Source organism: Homo sapiens, chromosome 2 (genome assembly GCF_000001405.40).
Source record: "Homo sapiens chromosome 2, GRCh38.p14 Primary Assembly".
Classification (NCBI taxonomy): Eukaryota; Metazoa; Chordata; class Mammalia; order Primates; family Hominidae; genus Homo; species Homo sapiens.
The window spans coordinates 173,411,654-173,433,493 of record NC_000002.12 but is presented as its reverse complement, the minus strand read 5'-3'; the positions used below and the strand labels follow the sequence as shown (position 1 = coordinate 173,433,493).

The following is a 21,840-nucleotide window of genomic DNA, read 5'->3' as shown; positions in this document are numbered from 1 at the left end:
ACATTTGGGATATACCAACATTGCTCATCTATTTTTCTTTCCTTTTTTTTTTTTTTTTTTGAGATGGAATTTTGGTCTAGTTGCCCATGCTGGAGAGCAACGGTACGACCTCGGCTCACTGCTGCCTCCGCCTCCCAGGTTCAAGTGATTCTCCTGCCTCAGCCTCCAGAGTAGCTGGGATTACAGGCGCCCGCCACCACACCTGGCTAATTTTTGTATTTTTAGTAGAGATGGGGTTTCACCATGTTGGCCAGATTGGTCTCAAACTCCTGACCTCAGGTAATCCACCCGCCTTGGCCTCCCAAAATGCTGAGATTATAGGCGTGAGCCACCATGCCCAGCCCCTCGTCTATTTTTCTGTTGAATAAGAAAATAGAAAAGGCTCTAAGAAAATATCATCTTGACAGAAATGTCTATTAATAGTCTTCACAGCCAAGAATGACAATACAAATAGTAGTGATCAACATATAAAGGACAGTCCTTTACTCCCACGTATACTTGGAGCCAACTGCCTTTATTATGTCAGTGTTGATAAGGAATCGTTGCCTTGTTTCTCAGAGCCGTTTTGAAGTAAGCATGCTGTACACCTTGTGATTGGTCCCCTCCACTTCAGTTGGCAGTCCTCTATGCCTTCTCAATCACAGGGGATTAAAGAAGCAAACATTTTAAAAAACCAGAATGAAAGATGTTCCCCAGTAGTTCCAGAGATTTATTTTCTCTTCTTTACAAAAGAAGATATTCTAGAAGATAAAGCCCAGAAGGTCCTCAGGTCTGGCAGAAAAATGTTCTCCTGTTCAAATATATACCTACTATAGATTCTCTGTCTTTTAAATTAACATTATAATTTAACTGTCTTATGTACAGAATAGTAGTGAAACAGCCGACCAAACTGAACTTGATACTAGATATCATGACTCATTAAAGAAAAAACGCAAGTAACTCTGTAAAATTGTGTAAACACAATTTAAAACTAGCTGGGGCCAAGGCAAAGGCAACAAGGCAAAACCAAGCAGTGTTAACATTTAGGACACCGTGAATATTAACTCAGAGTCTGCTACTCACTGGGGAGATCTGTGGGCCAGTTTGCTTAAATTCAGAGCTAAAAACACCTTTTTAAAATGTCAAACATGCATAGGATATAAAGAAAAAGAACAAGGTGGAGGCAATTAGCAAAAATAGAAAATTGGGGAAGTGAAATTTTGGCATTTGTATTTTGATCTCATGCAGAGATAAGTGGAGCTGTGAGTCAACTGGGCACAGGGACGTCGTGTCCAAGGCTTGCCTCACATGGTTGTGCTACAGAAGCTTCCATGGGGGGCACGTATGTGGTCAGCTTCTGATGGTATTGGCTGCCTGACTCACCAGCAAGGGACCTAACTGAATAGCCATGGTGTCCCATATTTAAAAAGCCGTACAGAAGAGATTATGTTTGAAGCCCACTAACCATGCCGTTTTTGACCTAGGATGAGTTATTTACATCTTAGGTAGTAATAAGTATCATTTCGAAATAACATTTAAAGAGACATAATAAACATATTCCAAATAGCATTTGAAAAGCTAACGTGGGCAGGAGACTCCCCCAGCGGGGGCCAGTCTGTGGGGTATGGAGCCTCCCTGTGCCCCTCGGTCCGACCTTGTCAGCATTCTGCTTCCACGCCAGCCTAACTTGCTCCTCTGCGCCATGACCACCACCACTACCTTCAAGGGTGTTAACCCCAACAGCAGGAATAGCTCCCGGGTTTTGCGGCTGCTGGGTGGTGGATCCAATTTTTCATTGGGTTTTGATGAACCAACAGAACAACCTGTGAGAAAGAACAAAATGTCCTCTAGTATCTTTGGGACACCTGAAGAAAATCCACCTTCTTGGGCCACATTGGCAGGTGCCAAGTCTAGAGGTGGCGGAGAAGACTTGGAGTCATCCGGACTGCAGGGAAGGAACGCTTCTGAAGCAAACTCTGCAGATTCTTAGATCTGAAGGGAGAAGGTGACATTCATGAAAATGTGGACACAGACTTGCAAGGCAGCCTGGGGCCGAGGGAAGAGAAGCCTGCACCTGCTGCACCTGTGCTGAGCCCCGTGGCCCTGGCCCCAGGACCATCCATAGGAAATCCCCCTGGTGGCAAGTGCAGCCTCATCCTGGGTTAACTCTGCTCTGACCATCCTGAACTTCGTTGTTTTGTTTGTTTCTCCCATGCTTGTGAACTGCACTACTTGAGCCTGACTGTACATCTTTTGAATTTATTTCATTAAAAAGGAAGCACTTTTAAAAAATAAATAAAATAAATAAAAAGACAAAATATCAACTACATGGTTTCTATGCTATCCCTGTGAAGACCTCTAAAGGTTTTTCTACTTTTCCTCGCTTTAAAAAACTTTTCCTGTGTCTTTGTTTCTCAATGATTTCAAGATGGTCTTGAAACCACAAAATATGTAACTCGGAGAAAGGATCAGGGTAAAGGGCTGGAGGATTCCATTCGCTGAAGTCTGTCAATGTTACCTATTGATGGAATAATGGCTATGAGGAAAGCTATAAAAGCTGCCCAGATTGAAGGCTATGGGGAACGGTGTTTGTCAGGACATGTCAAAAGATTTTAAAATGTAGATTCCATTCTAAGAATTTATCCTAAGAAAGCAAAGATGGATTACACAAAGGTCTAGCAAGGTGGCTCGCAGCAGCACAGTTAATAATTATAAATGTTGGATGCACCCAGAAGCTCCAGCACTAGGGAATTGGGAAAATAAATGGCAGTACATTCAGACCAGAAAACAATCTGTCAGCATGAAAAATAAATTTGGAGAAACGTCCATATCAGCAAAAGAGAGCTGTTCACAATATATTCTTAAGAGAATCCCTATGTAGAAACCTATGTAGATAACCTGAATTAAAGCAATTAGAGAAACCTAAATGTGAGAACAGAGAGTTTATTCAAAAACATGTAACTCCGTTTCTTTCGGGCACTGTGCTGAGCACCCTAGGGGCTGCAAAGATGAAGAAAATACAGTAGTTGTCCTCAAAAAACACATAGTCTCCATGGAAAAGAATGACTAAAATGCCAGGTAGAAAGTAGCTAATGCCATAAATGGTGTGTGTGTGTGTGTGTGTGACAGAGAGAGAGAGAGACAGAGACAGAGACAGAGAGACAGAGACAGAGAGACAGAGAGATTAAGATCAAGGAAGCAGTTTGGGGAAACACTTATACCAGTAAGAATGACTGTGCTAAGAGAAAATGGCTAAGGAGAGGCAGTGTGGCTACGAATGACCCCAGGGAATGGAGCCCCAGTCCCTTCTGGGAGGTTTGGAGGGAAAAGTGAGAACTCAAGAGCAAATCAGGGAAAGCCCAGTCTTCCCTGCTATGTCTAACTTGCCATGGCAATGTTGGGTGTCTCTGTGGATTGAGGTGCTTTGCCACCACATAATGCCCAAGTTTGGAGTTCCCCAAGCTGGCATCCTAAGCCTCAGAAGAAACACTACTCTTTTTTTTTTTTTTTTTTTTTTTGAGATGGAATCTCACTCTGTCACCCAGGCTGGAGTGTGCAGTGGCACAGTCTCAGCTCACTGCAACCTCTACCTCCCAGCTCAAGAGATCCTCCTGCCTCAGCCTCCCAAATAGCTGGGATTATAGGCACACATCACCATGCCTGGCTAATTTTTGTATTTTTTAGTAGAGACAGGGTTTCACCATGTTGGCCAGGCTGGTCTCGAACTCCTGACGTCAGGTGATCCGCCCGCCTTGGCCTCCCAAAGTGCTGGGTTTACAGACGTGAGCCACCGCTCCAGGCTGAAACACCACTCTCATGCACCCTGAACAAATCAGAGAAAGCTGATAATCACCAAGTGTCCTGTGCAGACTTGAACCAACTCTGCATCACCCTGTGGCAACTCCAGAGTAGTTCCAGGGGAATTCACATTCCCCAGGCCTTTTCAGAACCCCTCCAAAGCCCCAGAATTAATTCAGTCCCCAGAGAGTCTCTGGGCTTTTGACATCTTTATTAAAGGATTGACACACAGAGGCACCCACTTAATGGTAATGATACTTATCCATCCATCTATCTGTTTATCCTTTCATCCAACAAACACATACTAAGCATCTCCATGCCCAACTTAGAGAATACGAATAAGAATAAGAACCAATTTCTACCTTCTTGGTGGGGACAAATGGTTAAACCAGCAAGTACACTAAGGATTACTAGTACCATGAGAGAAGCAGAACCGAAGCGCTATGTGGGAACGAAGGAAGGAAGGAGGAGGAGTCAGGTAGGTAGCTCATGCCTGTAAATCCCAGCACTTTGGGAAGCCAAGAAAGGCAGCTCACTTGAGCTCATGAGTTTGAGACCAGCCTGGCCAACACGGTGAAGCCCCATCTCTACTAAAATACAAAAATTAGCCAGGGATGGTGGTGGGCGCCTGTAACCCCAGCTACTTGGGAGGCTGAGGCATGAGAATCACTTGAACCCAGGAGGAGAAGGTTGCAGCGAGCCGAGATCACACCACTGCACTCCAGCATGGATGACACAGAGAGACCCTGTATCAAACAAGAAAAAAAAAAAAAGAAAACGTTTCATGGAAGAAGTAATCTTCCAAAGATGGGCAGGTAGAAGACATGGGGATGCTCACTTGAACCCTCTGGGTCTTCCCAAATATAGTTGCCATGACTCAATGTTTAATAGTCATGACTGGAATCTGACCTGACCTACTTGACCTAGGTAAGGAAAAAATTGGAATGTACTGACCTAAGTCCCTGAAGAGCAGGAGCGTGACTGAGACACCTGGAGCCGGGGACTCAGACTCTCTCCGACTCTCTTGTCTCTGCCTCTCTCTGTGGATCGGCTTTCTTCTCCCCTAACCACGGCTTGGTTTTCTCACAGAAGTCAGACATGGCTGCTACAGCTACTGGCTTATATCTGCCAGCTTTTCCTCAAGGGAAAAACGTTTTCTCCCCGCAGGTTTAGTTGTTGAAATCCCAGGGGAGTGATTGGTGTGTTCTGAGTCATGCATTAGACACATGTCACTGTGGCCAGAACAGGGGCTCCCATGATTAGCTCAGCTTGGCCAGGGGCCTACCTTTGGATCAAACACTTTGTACAGACAAGTGGGGTCATGTAAAATACAAATTACTCATTTGGTTCACATTGGGTAGCAAGAACAGCTCCCCCAAATAAAGGGAGTGTTATTCCCAGAAAGTAGTAGGAGTACCAGAAACACAAAACAATAAATATCCACCATATCAGGACACCGCCAAACCATTCCTAGTTTCCAGGTGTCAACAGAATCTTCTGGCCCAGGGTTCACATGACAGTAGCAAAGCTGAAACTACAAGCCTGGCTATGTGAGCCAGCTTCTAACCAGATTCAGGTGGTGCAAGTCCCTTCACATCTGGTGGGGAGTCACAGCCAGCTGGATCAGCACTGAAGTAGGCCAAAGAGCAAAACTGTGGACAGAAAGGAATGCTGAACTCCTGCCAGGGCAGAGCACCTGGAATGTCCGTATCTTCAAGGCTACAGTCAAGGTCATTAACTGTGACTGAGCCTACAGAGGATGGGCTAGAGGGTTGCAGAGAGAGCTCAAGTTCACAAAAGCAATAAGGGTCTTGCAGGATTTGGATGTAGGGGAGCTGGGAGAGAGAAGTGTGTTACAAGTGTCAGCAGAAAGGACAACTGAAATTGAAGCACAGTTTGAGTGGCAAATATTAACTCCCTATTCCCTATTCTACCCAAACAGATGGAGGCTTTTATTGTGTCCCTTTTTGATGCCATTCCTCATAATTCCTCATTTCCTCTTTCCCACTTTGGGGTTGTAATAGATCACTGATAGCTATCCATCCCCCAACATATTTTACTTGCTTTTCTCATTTACTCTCTGTGTTTCCCACTAGATTGTAACCTCCATGAGAGCAGGGATTTTGCCTGTTTTGTTCATTTCTGATTCCCCCAAAATAATGTATGTCATTGAATAGGCACTTAATAATATCTGTGAAATCAATTTGCTGAGGACCGAATTCCCAAGAAAGAGATACAATCTCCTAAGGGAATTGCTATCTGTGAGGGACAGAATGTCCCCCCACTCTTTATGCCATCTTCCACAGGTAGGAAGCTGCCCAGCAGAACACTCCTGGGCTCCTCTCCACTTCATTTCCCCCAAACTCCAGCCCCGCCATGGGAAGGTGCAGCAATGTACACAATGATGTGTTTAGGACAAAGAATCGGGCCTTCTTCAGTCACCCTCAGGCACAAGCTGCCCACAGGAAGCCACCTCCGCTCTGCTCCTGCCTTCCATGCTCTCCATGCTGAGGGCTATGGTCCAGCACTGCCATGGCTGGGGGCAGAGGAACTTCCATCAAATTCCTGCAGATATAGGTCCTATTCTCAGGATCAGCTGGCTCACTAGCAAAGGTGATATTTCAATCCTACACTTGCCTCTTTGTTGTTGTTGTTGTTGTTTTGAGACAGAAACGCACTCTGTTGCCCAGGCTGGAGTATAGTGGTACAATTTTGGCTCACTCCAACCTCTGCCTCCCGGGTTCAAGTGATCCTCCCACCTCAGCCTCCCTAGTAGCTGGAACTACAGGCATATGCCACCACGTTCAGCTAACTTTTGTATTTTTTATAGAGACATGGTTTCACCATGTTGCCCAGGCTGGTCTCAAACTCCTAACCTCAAGTGATCCACCCGCATTGGCCTACCAAAGTGCTGGGATTAACAGGCGTGAGCCACCCCACTCAGCCTGAATCAAAACTATTTATCTGTCCCTGCTGAGTTCAAGCACCACCTACTCATGCCGTAATTAGTAAAAATGAGCTTGTTACAAAGTAGCATGTAGCACTACCCAAATTACCTTCTGCTGCGGGTCACATTCCCTGGGAAACAGACCCTAAGATGATGACATTTGCATGTGGAAGGTTTCTACCGGGAGTGGTTAGGAGGATCTTCTCAGAAGCAGGCACCTGTGAGGGAGCTGGGGCAGGACAGACAGGCAGGGAGAGGAGGCGCTGAACTATGATGTAGATGCAGTCTCGGCCAATTATACAGGGAGCTCTGAACTGCCTGGGGCTGCCTTTTATCCTTCTTCCTTCCAGGACCAGCCATTGATGGGGGCTGCCTCCAGAGAGGAGTGTGGCCTTGGCCAAGGGTAATTCCCCTTCCAGGTCCTGAAGGGGCATCTGTGAGGTCACCTCAGAGTGGATTCACACACCATCCTTCCGTTATATGATGCTGGGTATAATAACAACAAAAACATTTTGCCTGTGATATCACCTGTATAATAATAATTTGCCTGTATAGTAACAACAAAAACCTTTTGCCTGTGTATTTTGCTTAGGGGAGAGGGGTCGGTAAGGGAATGTTTTGAGGTTAGGCCTGTAAAGGGAGAAGTGACAGCAAAGACACCACCCAAGTGAAATCACGTGCACTGGAATTCAGCTTAGGCAAGCAGAATGCCCCTTCCCGCTAAACTGGTTCAGTAGGTGCCAATCCCTTGAATCGGTTTCTAGATTCCCCCTCCCTCTCTTTGAAGAAAAGTGGAGAAGGATTAACTGGCTAGTGGGCATTCCTTGCCCCAGAGAAGATTTGGCTGTCTTCACACATAACATCAACTACAATGGCTTCTTTTCTCCAATGCATGTCATAAGAGTAATGATTTTCAGCCAGGCACAGTGGCTCATGCCTGTAATCCCAGCTCTCTGGGAGGCCAAGGCTGGTGGATCATGAGGTCAAGAGATCAAGACCATCCTGGCCAACAGGGTGAAACCCCGTCTCTAATAAAAATACAAAAATTAGCTGGACGTGGTGGCATGTGCCTGTAATCCCAGCTACTCAGGAGGCTGAGGCAGGAGAATCGTTTGAACCAGGGAGTCAGAGGTTGCAGGGAGCCGAGATCGCGCCACTGCACTCCAGCCTGGCGACAGAGCGAGACTCCGTCTCAAAAAATAAAAAAAGAGTAATACTTTTCATTCTGATTTTCCCCTCTCTGTGCCAATCTAAGATGGAATTTTTCAGACCTAATGTGCTCAAAGAACAGGGACTCATGTCTAAGGAGAAAGCTGCTATATATCATGGTACATTTGGAAGAGCAGCACATTGGAGCCAGGCCCCACCGCTCATCTTCACAAATTCTATAACCTCAAGCAAGTCTCTTAAGTCAATGGAGCCTCGGTTGCCTGACCTGCCCAGTGAGCTTTAACACACTACCTGCCTCCAAGCAAGAGCAGCTCAAGTTCTGCCATTTTTATTGATCATTTCTTCAAGCAATAAATTAACTGCATCCTGCCAGAAATGACTTCCCAGTGGTGAGGATGCATGGATCTCGCTTTCTTTCTCACCCACAAAGTATTTGGCAGTCACCATCAGACCAGAAGTTTCTTTGCTTTCCTTGCAGGCTTTCGAAAGAAGGAAATAATTTCACCCCCAACAAAATGAGACCCTGTAGACAGGTCACTTAGAGACAACTATATACTGGCTGGCTGCCCTGACATTCTCTGGCACAAAATGCATAGTAAGCCTGTTATATATTTGCATCCTTGTAGCTTTTCTGGTGTGTGCATGCCTGGAGCACAATCTATGGCCTCAGTCAGTATATGGGATGTGTATGAGAGAGAGACATCTCAGCTTTTGGTTGGCTCTCTCATCCTTGCCCGGAGTGTGACTCTATGAATCTCTTTGTTTTTTTAGATAGAGTCTCACTCTGTTGCCCATGGTGGAGTGCAGTGGCGCAGTCTCGGCTCACTGCAACCTCTGCTTCCCAGGTTCAAGTGATTCTCCTGCCTCAGCCTCCTGAGTAGCTGGCACTACAGGTATGTGCCATCATGCTCTGCTGGTTTTTGTATTTTTCGTAGAGACAGGATTTCACCATGTTGGCCGGAATGGTCTTGAAAACTCCTGATGTCAGGTGATCTGCCTGCCTCAGCCCCCCAAAGTGCTGGGATTACAGGCATGAGCCACTGCGCCTGGCGACTCTATGACTCTCTTACCCACAGCTTCGTATCATCTTTGTACCTTTCCGGTTTAAGTTGTCAAAATCAAAGATAATGGGTACACAAGAAGAAAATGAAAAATGTGAATATGTAAAACATTAAAGGCAACATCAACAATATATTAATTTGATGATTTCTTGTGATTTAACCATGTGAACATATTGGTATAAACAGATCGTGAGCCAAAATTTATTGTGGCTCTATTTTTTCTTCTGATAGTAAAGACTATTGATGTATAATAACCAGATTTACAATATTAAAATTTTAAAAAGACATTTGGATGATTTAGAGGGTTCTCTTAGAAGTATATTTACAAAACAAAACAAAAGAAAAAAAACTAAGCCAGAGTAAACCTATCAAAATGAACTATCTGGGAAAAGAAAGAAAAAAACTGAAATTAATTGAACTTATATTTTTTCTGACTTTACGCTTGATACTTTATATTTTATCTTATTTAATCCTTATGTAATCCAGTTTACACAGGTATTATTATCCCCATAAGAAAGATGAAGCCTATATTAGAGACTAAATAATTTGTTCATAATCCCCCTATTAAAAAAAGAAGAACTGACCAGGCGCAGTGGTTCACGACTGTAATCCCAGCACTTTGGGAGGCCAAGGCAGGCAGATCATGAGAACAGGAGATAGAGACCACCCTGGCCAACATGAAGAAACCCTGTCTCTACTAAAAATACAAAAATTAGCTGAGCATGGTGGTGCGTGCCTGTAATCCCAGCTACTTGGGAGGCTGAGGCAGGAGAATCACTTGAACCAGTGAGTCGGAGGTTGCAGTGAGCCAAGATCGGACCACTGCACTCCAGGCTGGCGACAGACTGAGACTGTCTCAATAATACATAAATAAAAAATAAAATAAAATAAAATAAAAACAGAGGAACTGGAATTCAATGTCTTTAAGTTCAATATCCATCTCTTATTAGATTTTGAACAAATGGCCATATGATTATTGTAGTAAAAACAAAGATTATAATATTAACCTCAAAGAATTTGTGACCACAGGTAACCAAACAAATCAACTCAAGTAACACTCTAAGACAGTGTTTCCCAGAGTAGCTGATAGAACATCAGTCTTTGTGAATGCTCCATGTTTTAAAAAAAATGTTTCTATGGACAAATATGATTTGGGAAATGCTGCTTTTTATAGCCCCCTCTTGAAGATTCATGATGTTCACCACCTAATTAAAGGCTTGGAGAAAGAGCTCTCTTGCATCCAGTGGCACTAGCATTCCCAGGAGCAATACTTTAGGACACCCTGCTCTAAGGCACTGTCTGGTCAAGTCCAGCTGCAGAAATAAAACAGACAGCTCTGCTGGGGTTTAGAAGAGGGTTTGACAGCACTGTGAGCTCATGGGATGGGGAGAAGTTTTCTGTTGGAACTGAAAGTTTTTCTAGGCCTGAGGGCCTAGAGAGGAAGAGGATACGTGAGGCGAAAGGTCTGCTCGTGGCACAGAAGGGTAGCAGCATGGCTGGAGCCAAGGATGATTTGTGGGAGACAGTTGGAGGAAATGAGGTGAGGTGATTGGAGTTGGAGCCTGGATGGCTTGCCATGCAGATCAGAGAAGATGGAATACACCCTGTAATAGCTACCAACAATACTGGACAAGGACATGAGGCTCCACAGCTTTCATCTCCTGTGCTATCTCACATTATCACAACAATGGGCCAACCAGAGAGGAGGGAATTGAGGGATTCGAGCTTTGTAACTGGGCTCCCTCCTTCCTGTCTCCCTTGTGTGATAGCTCACACCCATAATCCCAGCACTTTAGGAGGCCAAGGTGGGTGGATCACCTGAGGTCAGGAGTTCAAGACCAGCCTGGCCAACATGATGAAACCCCATCTCTACTAAAAATACAAAAATTAGCCAGGTGTGGTGGTGCACTCCTGTAGTCCCAGCTACTCAGGAGGCTGAGGCATGAGAAACGCTTGAATGCTGGAGGTGGATGTTGCAGTGAGCTGAGATAGAGCCACTGCACTCCACCCTAGGCAACAGAGCAAGACTCCATCTCCAAAAAAAAAAAAAAAGCATTTTGTAGGGAGATTAATGTGGTTGTCATGCCAAGGATGGAACCAAATGTGGAGACAGAAAGCAGGAAAAGTGGTGAGAACCCTCTGACAGTTACACAGATAGGAAGTGATGAGAGCCCAGAAGCGGCTCTGGGGAAGGAAAGGAAAGAGCAGGTGCATGTGAGAGTTGCAAATAATGATCCACACAATTCAGCAAATGCCCAGAAATGGTGAAACAATCAATGATAATTCACATGCTTTGAAACTGGGAATTCAGACAATGACGTTCCCATGAATGTGAAGAAGTGCTGATAGTATTATTGATCATTAACAGTTGCTGAGGTCTTACTATTGTCAGCTCCGTTCTAACTGCTTACATTAATCACTTATTTAACAGTCCCAAACTCATACATGAGAACTTTTATTACTTCCATTTTCTAGATGAAGAAACCAAGGCACAAAGGAGTGGGTTACTTTCCCAGGGTCACAAATCTAACAAATACCAAAAGTGAGAAGGGATGGATTCAGTTCAGAGAGAAGGAAAAAAGAGACGATGAGTTTGATCTTCGACTCTTTGGCTTAATGCAATGACAGGTGATCCAAATGGCTACGTAGTGGAGAGAGAGACCTCACAAAACAGGTAGAAACTGAGGACTAGGCAGACAATGGTCTGGTTTGCTAGGGACTGTGGGTTTGAGTCCTGAGAGCCCTGCACTGGGAAATCCCGCAGTCCCAGGAAAATTGGGACAGTCGGTCATCCTAGGCAAGTGAGAACGTAGACTGTAAATCTTTTGCACAGAAACTAGAGCATCAGCCAGGGAGCACGTTGGTTCTTCCAAGATGGGTAGCAAGGAGGGTGGAAACTGTCCCTTGGGAAACTCCCACAACCAGGAAGCCGGCTGAGGAAAGCAGCACTCATGGCTGCAGAAAGAGTCTCCAGACCATGCAGTGCCTAAATCCAGGATAGAAAAGAGTCTCAGGAAGAACTGGTGTCAGCAAGATGTCAAATGCTGCAGAGGTCAGAGAAGAAAACCACAAAAAAAGAAGCCATTTACCATTGGCCACTGCAAGAACATTCTAGGACTTCAAGAGTAAAAGATTGGTAAATAACACATTATCTAATGATCTCATTTAATTAGTATTTCATTATCTATTCACTATAGTGCTGTGGACATCGGCATTTTACAGACGAGGAAACTGGGATTCAGAGAGCTGAATGAGCAGGAGGCTCTCCTCCACTGTCTGTTGTGGCAGAGCTGGGAACCACGAGGACGAGGAGAGTGGACGCAGGCAGGGGAATGCCTGCTAAGGATATGAAGTCAAGGGAAGGAAGCCAGGGAAGAGAAAAAGAGGGAAAAGGCCAAGGGGAAGAGGCATTAGTTGAGACAGAAAGGGCTTCCAAGAGGTGCAGGAAGGCTGTGAGGTAGGAGGAAATAGGTTGGTTTGCCCTAATGAGACAAATGGGCAGCTCTTCGTCTCAGACTGGACAAAAATGAAGGCTAATCAGAGGGAAAGAACACCCCTGAGGGAGGACAAGGTAAAGGTGGGAACTTATTCTGGTTGGCCTCAATCTAATTGTCAAAGGAGGAGGTGATATGGTTTGGCTGTGTTCCCACCCAAATCTTATCTTGAATTGTAGCTCCCATAATTTCCAAATGTTGTGGGAGGGACCTGGTGGGAGACACATGAATCATGGGGGCAGTTTCCCCCATACTGTTCTCATGGTAGTGAATAAGTCTCATGAGATCTGACGGTTTTATAAGGGGAAACCTCTTTCACTTGGCTCTCATTCTTTCTTGCTGCCGCCATGTAAGACGTGCCTTTCACCTTCCGCCATGATTGGGAGGCCTCCCTAGCCACGTGGAACTGCGAGTCCGTCAAACCTTTTTTTCTTTATAAATTACCCAGTCTCAAGTACGTCTTTATCAGCAGTGTGAAAATGGACTAATACAAGAGGTGAAATAGTCCCCTGGGATGTCAGCGACTAGGGCAGCAGGTGGCTCCAGAAGTCAGGAATACCTTCTGTGAGACACAGCAAGAGTAACACAGACATTGCCCCTCTGAAGATGAACAGCAGGAACTCCCCTCACTAGCAATGCTCCTCAGGCCAGCTTGGGTGGAATGAATGATGGAACCTGCTTTTCCAAACTTCCAGAAAAGGAAAAGAAGTCTAGGGATATATGAATCACCCCAAGAGGTGACCCTAGGCTCCTAAAGCACCCTGAGCCTGCCCGTACCGCTCACTTACACTCTGAATTGGTATCCCTGGCTAGCCTGATAACTAATCTGTGTCCCCACTACATGATAAACTCCTGGAGGAAGGGACCTTGTCTTAGTTGACCTGGTAGCCATAATGTGTTGTGCTGTGTCTGCAGCATGGTAATTACACAATAAATGTCTGATATAGAGAAAAGGTTAAGATGGTGAGGTGAGCTGACCATGAAGTCAAGATTGGATAAAGAATCTGAGATGACCAGGAGGAGATTCATGAGCTGGATGAAAGGAGAGGGTTCATGGTGCTCAGGAAGTTAAAACTGTACTGGAACCAGCTCACATCAGCTCACAAGAGTCAATTTTGCACATTTCTTCCTAACTCTATGTCAGTGAAATCACACTGGTAGCTTAAAATCAGCAATGGTGGGAGTATTTACATCATGGGAATCGACAAATGCTACGTATCAGAGCTTCTTTTTTCTGAAGAGGTGGTTGATAAGTTATCAACACACCATTGAATAACACCCAGATTTCATACAGGTAGGACAGCAGAAGTGATGATTCAGACGTTGTGTACAATGAAAGAGACTGTTGCATAAGACAATAGCTCCAGGTTTCCTCTGCAGAGGCCATACCTCCCAAAAAAGGCACCCAGAGCCAAAGCACATGCCTCCTTCATTTTTAAGAGCAAGGAGTTCCTGTTTTACTGTCAGAAGCATTCTGGTTTTACTGTCTTTTCCGCTTCTGTTTATTATTATGACAACTGGAATATATACAGATGAGGAATAAAAGCAGGCAGTATAAAGATGAATTGGTTTAGGATCACCTTTAATTCTCTGAGAAATTGGTTTTGGCCTTAACTTTTGCAAGGGAAGAAAAACGAGAGAATAATGTTCTGCTCTAAATAATGTGCATATCCACAGATCAGAGGAAAAAGAGACGACTGCTTATCTCCTGTTGTCCCAGTAGAGCATGAGATAAAGTATTAATACTTTAAGAGAAACATCTGATCCCTGTCTGTGTTTAAGTGCTGTAACCTGTTGGCAGGAACAGTTGAAGACTATCTACACTTCTTTCCCCAAAATGGACAATACTCCAAGGTTTTTGCCCCACAGCCCACCTCACTCTATATAACTCTATCTCAGTCATGCACACTAGCATGGACTCAGAACTCAAAAGAAATTAAAGCAGATCTAGAAAAAGTCAACATGTGGAAAATGCAGAGTTTAATGAAAATTCGCAACCCTTCCCAGGGACCACCTTCTGTCTAATAAATGAAGCCTATTCCTTTAGTGAGTGTAAGCTTTACATTGCCGAGGCCAACGGCATTTTGTGGGAAGTTATAGGAGTTTTATGCTTATAGATTTTTTGTGTTGGGATATCCAACAACAACAACAAAAAAATGTTTGTGTTGGGATTTTTTGGTGTTGTGTTATACTCTGTGTTGGGACAGCAGCACACTGAGGAATGCAGGTCCAGGGGTTCAACCATGTGTTTGCATCAGGCCTGGCTGTTGTGATTTTCCACTAAAGTTGTTCTGTACACATATTTCATATGCAGATAATTTTGGGTGAAAAAATAAAAGCTCCAGTCAACAAAAGAATGTTTATGCTCAAGAGTGTAAAAGAGAAATTATTAATCAAGAAGTATACAATATCAAAACAAGGCAACTTGGTGCATTAATCAAAGAAAAAGTTTGAGTATGACAAATAGTTCAACTTCTAATATTTCTTAAAATCTACACAGCAATTTCAATTTAAAACGAACATTCTGATGCCATGTATGGTGGCTCATGCCTATAATCTCAGCACTTGGGGAGGCCAAGGCAAGAGGATTGCTTGAGCACGGGGGTTCAAGACCAACCAGGTCAACATAGTGAGACTATCTCTAGAAAAAATAAAAAATTAGCCAGGCATGGTGGTGCCCACCTGCAGTCCCAGCTAGTTGGAAGGCTGAGGTGGGAGGATGGCTTAAATCCAGGAGGTCAACCATGCAGTTAGCTGTGATCATACCACTGTACTCCAGTCTGGATGACACAGCAAGACCCTGTTTCAATAAAACATAAAATAAACAAAATAAAATAGACATTCTGAAATTTTTCCTTCCACTAATTTAATTCATTTTTAAACACACAGTAAAAATTTCCCAGGAAAATATGAAATGGGATAAAATAATTATATCAGATTTAAATTTAGCACTTTAAAGAAAACCATTGTCTAGCATTAATCCATGACATTTGAAGTTTAAAATCTAACATTTCTTTACTGAACTTCTGTAATTTGATGCCTCAGCAATTTGTAGTATGCATAGAATGTATTATAATGCCAGAATAGTACAACCAAGTTTGAACTTAAAGTATCTAATTTAGTCATTCATATTCTCTACCAAGGTGTTTAAATGTTCAATGAGCCCTTAGAGAAAATAATGAATAAGTTTAACAGCAACTTATATTCCAAGATATTAAGGGTACTTCAGGTAAATAATATTAAATTTTCTGTCAGACAGGTGAAGACTGTAGTTAAGGGATGTGCCAAGGCTCTCCAATAAAGTTTGGGTAAAAACATGTACATGCAATGACGATTAGTAGTCCCAACTTTTATATACCTATTCAAAACAGTAAACTTTTCTTAAATGGTGGTTTGAAGATGAAATTCAAAATGTCACTAACTTTATTTTTTAATTCCACTTTTCACAATGTAGTCTAAAAAAATTATAAAAATAGAAAAAGCTTCGTGCTTAAAGATGTTGACCTCAGCGTTATTTATCATTGGAATGTTATACTAAAATGTCCAACAATAGCAGAATGAGAATGTAAAGTGTATCAGCTCCACACAATGCTATGTGGTCCTTTCTGCATTTCAGAGTCTTGTCACTGGAAGACACCACAGCCCAGTGTGAAGATCACAGTATCTGGATCATATCTTCCGGAATTTTTTTTTTTTTTTTTTTTTTTTGAGTTGGAGTTTCACTCTTTTCACCCAGGCTGGAGTGCAATTGCACGATCTCAGCTCACTGCAACCTCTGACTCCCAGGGTCAAGCGATTCTCCTGCCTCAGCCTCCCGAGTAGTTGGGATTACAGGCATGCGCCAACACGCCCGGCTAATTTTTGTATTTTTAGTAGAGACGGGGTTTCACCATGTTGCCCAGGCTGGTCTCGAACTCCTGACCTCAGGTGATCCACCCGCTTCGGCTTCCCAAAGTGCTGGGATTACAGGTGTGAGCCACCCGCCCTGCCAAGAATTTTTTTTTCTTCTTCTTTTTAAGATGGAGTCTAGTTCTGTCGCCAGGCTGGAGTGCGGTGGCGCAATGTCAGCTCACTGCAACCTCCGCCTCCCGGGGTCAAGCGATTCTCCTGCCTCAGCCTCCTGAGTAGCCGGGACTACAGGCGCCCGCCGCCACGCCCGGCTAATTTTTTGTATTTTAGTAGAGACGGGGTTTCACCGTGTTGCCCAGGCTGGTCTTGAACTCCTGAGCTCGGGCAGTCCACCCGCCTCGGCCTCCCAAAGTGGTAGGATTACAGGCGTGAGCCCCCGCACCCGGCCCAGAATATTTTTAAAAGCTGAAGACGGGATTTTCTTTTTTGAGACAGCAAAAGGTGACTTTTTGATGTCTACAACTGATCTCCTATGATTCATCCCCATCTTGTTAGTTTTGGAAGTATGATCAAATAAGTCTACATAGTTAAGAGAATGCCTGGAAATTTTGCCAAAATGTCACTATATTATAAAGTTGTCTGTATGGCTGACTAGAGAAAAGAGAATATGGCAAGAAATAGTAAATTCCCTGTTCTTGAATTGTTTATGCTCTCGTTAGGCTTGCACACTAGAAAAATTTTTGAAAACATAATTTAAGGGTACTTTAAAATACAGTATAAATGAAGTGCATAAACACTGACAGGCTGGAGCACAAAGGATAATCGAAGTCAGGTGGCCCTAATCACGGCCGGCGCACTGGCGCTGGCGACGGGTCCGGCCCCGTGTGCACGGGCCGCAGGGTTTCTGTAAAGTTTTAAGGGGGCGAACAAAATACAGTTGCTGATCCAGTCGGTGACATATTTGCTCACTTCATAATCTGCTTCCTACATAAGCTGTTGCTGAATGGAAAACAAATGCAAGCACATCAAGTCTGGGAACAGATGGTGCTTCTGTAAGATGAAGAAAACAGGAGGGCCGGGGGACAGCAAGTTTTAAAAAGCTCGCTTTCTTCCCCTTCCCCCTCGGCTGCCTGGCTTCCTCCGCAGCCCCCTCCTGTTAGCCCCATCTTTCTCTTCAGCTCCTCCCACCTTTGTTAGGATGAAAGATGCTGTAGGTTAGAGAGATAGAAGACGATCCTTAATCTCAAATCCCCTTTGTGCGTTTTAGTAGAGCTCTTGTCTCCCAAAGTAAAATAAAGAGGCCAAGGCCCCTGTAAAATGGCAGCGAGGCCGCGCACAAAGAGTGCGGGGCATATGGTGACCTTCCTTTCTCCGAGATGGGTTGAGCCTCAGTTGTCATGCTGGGAGGTTGTTCTTAAATATCATTTGGATGCTATTGTTTGTCTGAGGCCCGGAAAAAAATGTGACTGTCTTGCTGAGCTGGAGGGAAGAAGAATCTAAAAAGGATTTATGGAAATGTCTGGAAATTTTGCCAAAATGTCAGTGTGCTAATTGTCTGCTGAATTACATCCGAGGCAGCTCCATCTCTATGCATGGGTTTGGACGTGTACACGTACTCTCTTATTATTCTTTGGTCCTTCTTGCCTTGTTTTGAATCAGGATTCTATGGCACCACAGTAAAACTGGTGTGGTGTGCGTTACAGGGAAAGTGGCAAGCTCTGATGACAATAACCACGTAAATCAGATTTTCCCGGGCAGTTCCCATTTCAAACATTCTGCTTCTGTAGGTCTATTAGTGCACTCCTACTCATCAGACCATATGTCACCAGGTTTTCAATTCTGAAAATAAATCACTTGTTTATGATGAAATACGTGCATAGTGGGCATGAATAAATGTTGGGAAAGAAAGAAAAAAAGGAAGGAAGGAGGGAAGAGAAAGAGACAAGGAGGGAAGAAGGGAGGAAGGAAGAAAGGAAAAAGAAAGAAAGACATGAATGAATGAATGAATGAATGTTCGTACTCTGCAGATGATGTAAGAAAGCTTAGGCTTTTGTTATAACTTTGCCATTTGCCATTAGTCATGTGGCAGCTGGCCAAAAAAAGTAACCTCTGGGTCTTTGGTTTCTTCATCTAGAAAGTGTTGAGACAAATCTAATTTCTTTCTGAGATCCATCCAGATCCAGCAAATCTATATTCTAATGAAAGAGGGCTTTATCTGAGACTTAAGATTTTTTTCTTGGTTCCTGGTCTGATGGCTTAGTTGTGACTAATCAAATTTACCAGTCCTCTAAGCAAATATGGACAATGACATGTAAGTTTCTTTATCCCATGGTAGGGGGGGAAGCCCATGACTAGAAGTTACTGAAAGCACAATCTTCAGGGGGTATTAGGGAAGGGACTACATGCAGAAAGGCAGTTGCTTAGGTTTACTGCATTTCTCTTTTTTTTTTTTTTTTTTTTTTTTGAGATGGAGTCTCTTTCTGTCACCCAGACTGGAGTGCAGTGGTGTGATCTGAGCTCACTGCAACCTCTACCTCCTGTGTTCAAGCAATTCTTCTGCCTCAGCCTCCCCAGTAGCTGGGATTACAGGTGTGTGCCACCACACCTGGCTAATTTTTGTATTTTTAGTAGAGACAGGGTTTCACCATATTGGCCAGGCTGGTCTCAAACTCCTAACCTGGTGCTCCACCCACCTCGGCCTCCCGAAGTGCTGGGATTACAGGTGTGACCCATCTCGCCCAGCCTACTCCATTTCTTTAAGGCAAATAAGAGTATACGCCTTAGGGTTGAGGGGATACCAAGGTGCAAAGGCAAAAATTAAAGACAACTTAGTAATGGCGTGATCCCCAGGGGGCGGAGCCTGCAGTGAGCCGAGATTGCGCCACTGCACTCCAGCCTGGGCGACAGCGAGACTCCGTCTCAAAAAAAAAAAAAAAAAAAAAAAAAAAAAAAAGACAACTTAGTTAAGAATTGGAAAAAGTGATTTGAGAATAATATACTAAGTGAATCAAAAGATAAAAAGTGAAATATGAGCAATTTGGGGCTTGCACAGGGCTGTTTTCTAATAAAGACAAGACATCTGAACTCGTAGCCAAAGAAAGAATGCCTTATAGTTAACTGCATGCACTCAAAATGTGGTCCAAGTTGCAAGAGAAGACATGAGGAGTACTTTTGCAAATAATTTTTATTCTAATATTTAATTTTGCTGGAAAGTCTTGTAATCTAACACAATAGTTAAGTAAAAGCTGGTCGAAATAATGAAATGCATTTCTTCCGAGCCCATGGGTTCTGAGGAGCCCTCATGGCGGAGACAGGGGTGAGAAATCCCAGACAAAAGCTCCAGGTCAACGCGCCCCAGCCGCGTCAGAGCCAGCAGCTCCTGCCCTCAGCATAAAATTGGTCCCCAGAGCAGGCTGTAGGAGAGTTCCCTGAGGTAGAAGGAGGAAAAGAAAAGGAGACTGGGGGAATGAGCTCTGTGTATGAGCATGTTCAGGGGATGGGAGCAAGAGAGGGGTTTACATCTCCTGGGAAGGCCCAGGGTACTAGGATACTGCAGCAAAACACCAACAATGGGCAAGTCATGTGTGCTATTAACTACGTTAACAACATAATTAACTTTTTAGTTGCATTTTCGTTAACTTATTCTATTTTTAGTCAATGCTTTTTATTGATCAGTTGGCAACCAAGTTTTTATAAGTGATTGTTTTTAAAAGAATTGATCATAAAGGAAAGAAAAAGAATGAGAAAAAAAAAGGAAGGAAGGACAGCTATGTGCTGCAACGCTTCGGTACCCTTATGTTAAAAAAAAAAAAAAAAAAGGTCTTTTTATTTCCTAAGTCCAGGCTCAGAGGATGATCTCTTACTAAAATTCTAGCCTGTGGTCCTGGCCAAGAGAGTAAACTGCTAGTCACCAGGACATAATTCTGCACCTGTCTTTAGTATCTGTTGAAGTTCCTAGAGCAGCATCCAGGGATAAAAACAAATGACCAAGTTTTTGTATGGCACCGAAGCAAGGACACCAAATAGTCACTCTGATACCCTCCGTTCTCCAATCCCTGCCCCTCACGAGGCCCCTCCTTGCAAAGAACAGCTCAACGAAAGGAAATAGAATGCTTTTTAAAAATACAGGCTACCCACGTTAGACTTTGCACAGTTTTACTAGCTCTGCCACTGACCTACAGATCTAACAACAGCAATAACATCTGTCACCTATTGAGCACTTCCAGGTAGTGTTCTAAGCATTTACATACAGTTACACATTTAATCCTCACAGCAACTCTATTAGGAAGCTGCTAAATATTAGTCCCCACTTTGCAGATGAAATTGAGGAAAATGAGGTTAAGTGAGGTGCCCAGGCCACGTGACCAGGATCAGCCCACAGGCCTCTGCTTCCAGCATCTGCCTTCTCAATCTGTACACTGTGTGATGTTGAAAGCTTTTGCTGGAATTAAGCCTCCTTATTTTAGTTTATCTTCTTCCTGTTAAACCACATACAATACTTCTGCTTTTATTTATTCAATAAAATCTGGAATCAGAATCAGGTAAAAAACATATAGAGAGAAACAGTAGTTCAAAGAAATTCAAGTCTGAGAAAGCTTTGGAAACATTTTTTCATGTTAAAGGATTTTCGGCAAAAATGTAAGTGTTTTTAATCTCTTCTCCCATATGTTTAAAACAGAAGGCTTTTATTAGAGCAAGTCATTGCACTAAGATGCAAACAGTTTAAAAAAAAAAAAAGTGAAAATGACCCAGAGCCATTGCCTTGGAAAGAATAATAAGTAGGGGTCGGGCATGGTGGCTCATGCCTGTAACCCCAGCACTTTGGGAGGTGGAGGCAGACCGATCACAAGGTCAAGGGATCAAGACCATCCTGTCCAACACGGTGAAACCCAGTCTCTATTAAAAATACAAAAATTAGCTGGGTATGGTGGCGGGCATCTGTAGTGCCAGCTACTTGGGAGGCTGAGGCAGAAGAATCGTTTGAACTCAGGAGGCGGAGGTTGCAGTGAGCCAAGATTGCACCACTGCACACTCCAGCCTGGTGACAGAGCGAGACTCCGTCTCAAAAAAAAAAAAAAAAAAAAAAAAAAAAAAAAAAAAAAAGGATAATAAGTAGGACCACTAGGACCACTGATGTAAGCAGACTTAAGAATCTCAAACAAGTTTTTGGGTTTAGTTTGTATATTTTCTACATATACCTCTAATCAACAGGGATAGCCACTGTTAGCATTTTGAAGCGTTTCTTCCAAAAAGTGTTACTATTTCTAACCACAAGCACAACAATATTGCTTACATAATTTAACTCTTAGGCTATGAGTGTTTGTTTTTTGGGGGTTTGGTTTTGAGGATTTTTGTGCCTTATAAATAGCCCTCCATAGACTTGGGAGAAAGTGATGGCATTAATATGTAAAAAGAATAATATCTCAGGTTTAGATTTTACCATTTCTCATCCACAGAATGCACTTCTGCAGCACCAGAAGAACTTGTCAGGCAAATAGCTAGATTCGAGTTAGAAACAAACCAAAAATCCAATCAAATTAGT

At 43.5% G+C, this 21,840-nt stretch overlaps 1 pseudogene, besides 1 other annotated feature; it reads left to right on the top strand.

Annotated features, from left to right (window-relative positions):
* On the top strand, positions 1,570-2,264 carry JPT1P1 (JPT1 pseudogene 1; annotated as a pseudogene).
* Positions 17,185-17,693: an enhancer, noted in NCBI's record as "H3K4me1 hESC enhancer chr2:174280529-174281037 (GRCh37/hg19 assembly coordinates)". NCBI's record gives its function as "activates a minimal SCP1, AML or CMV promoter by ChIP-STARR-seq in naive H9 embryonic stem cells {active_cell/tissue: H9 hESC(naive)}" and the evidence as "EXISTENCE:reporter gene assay evidence [ECO:0000049][PMID:30033119]".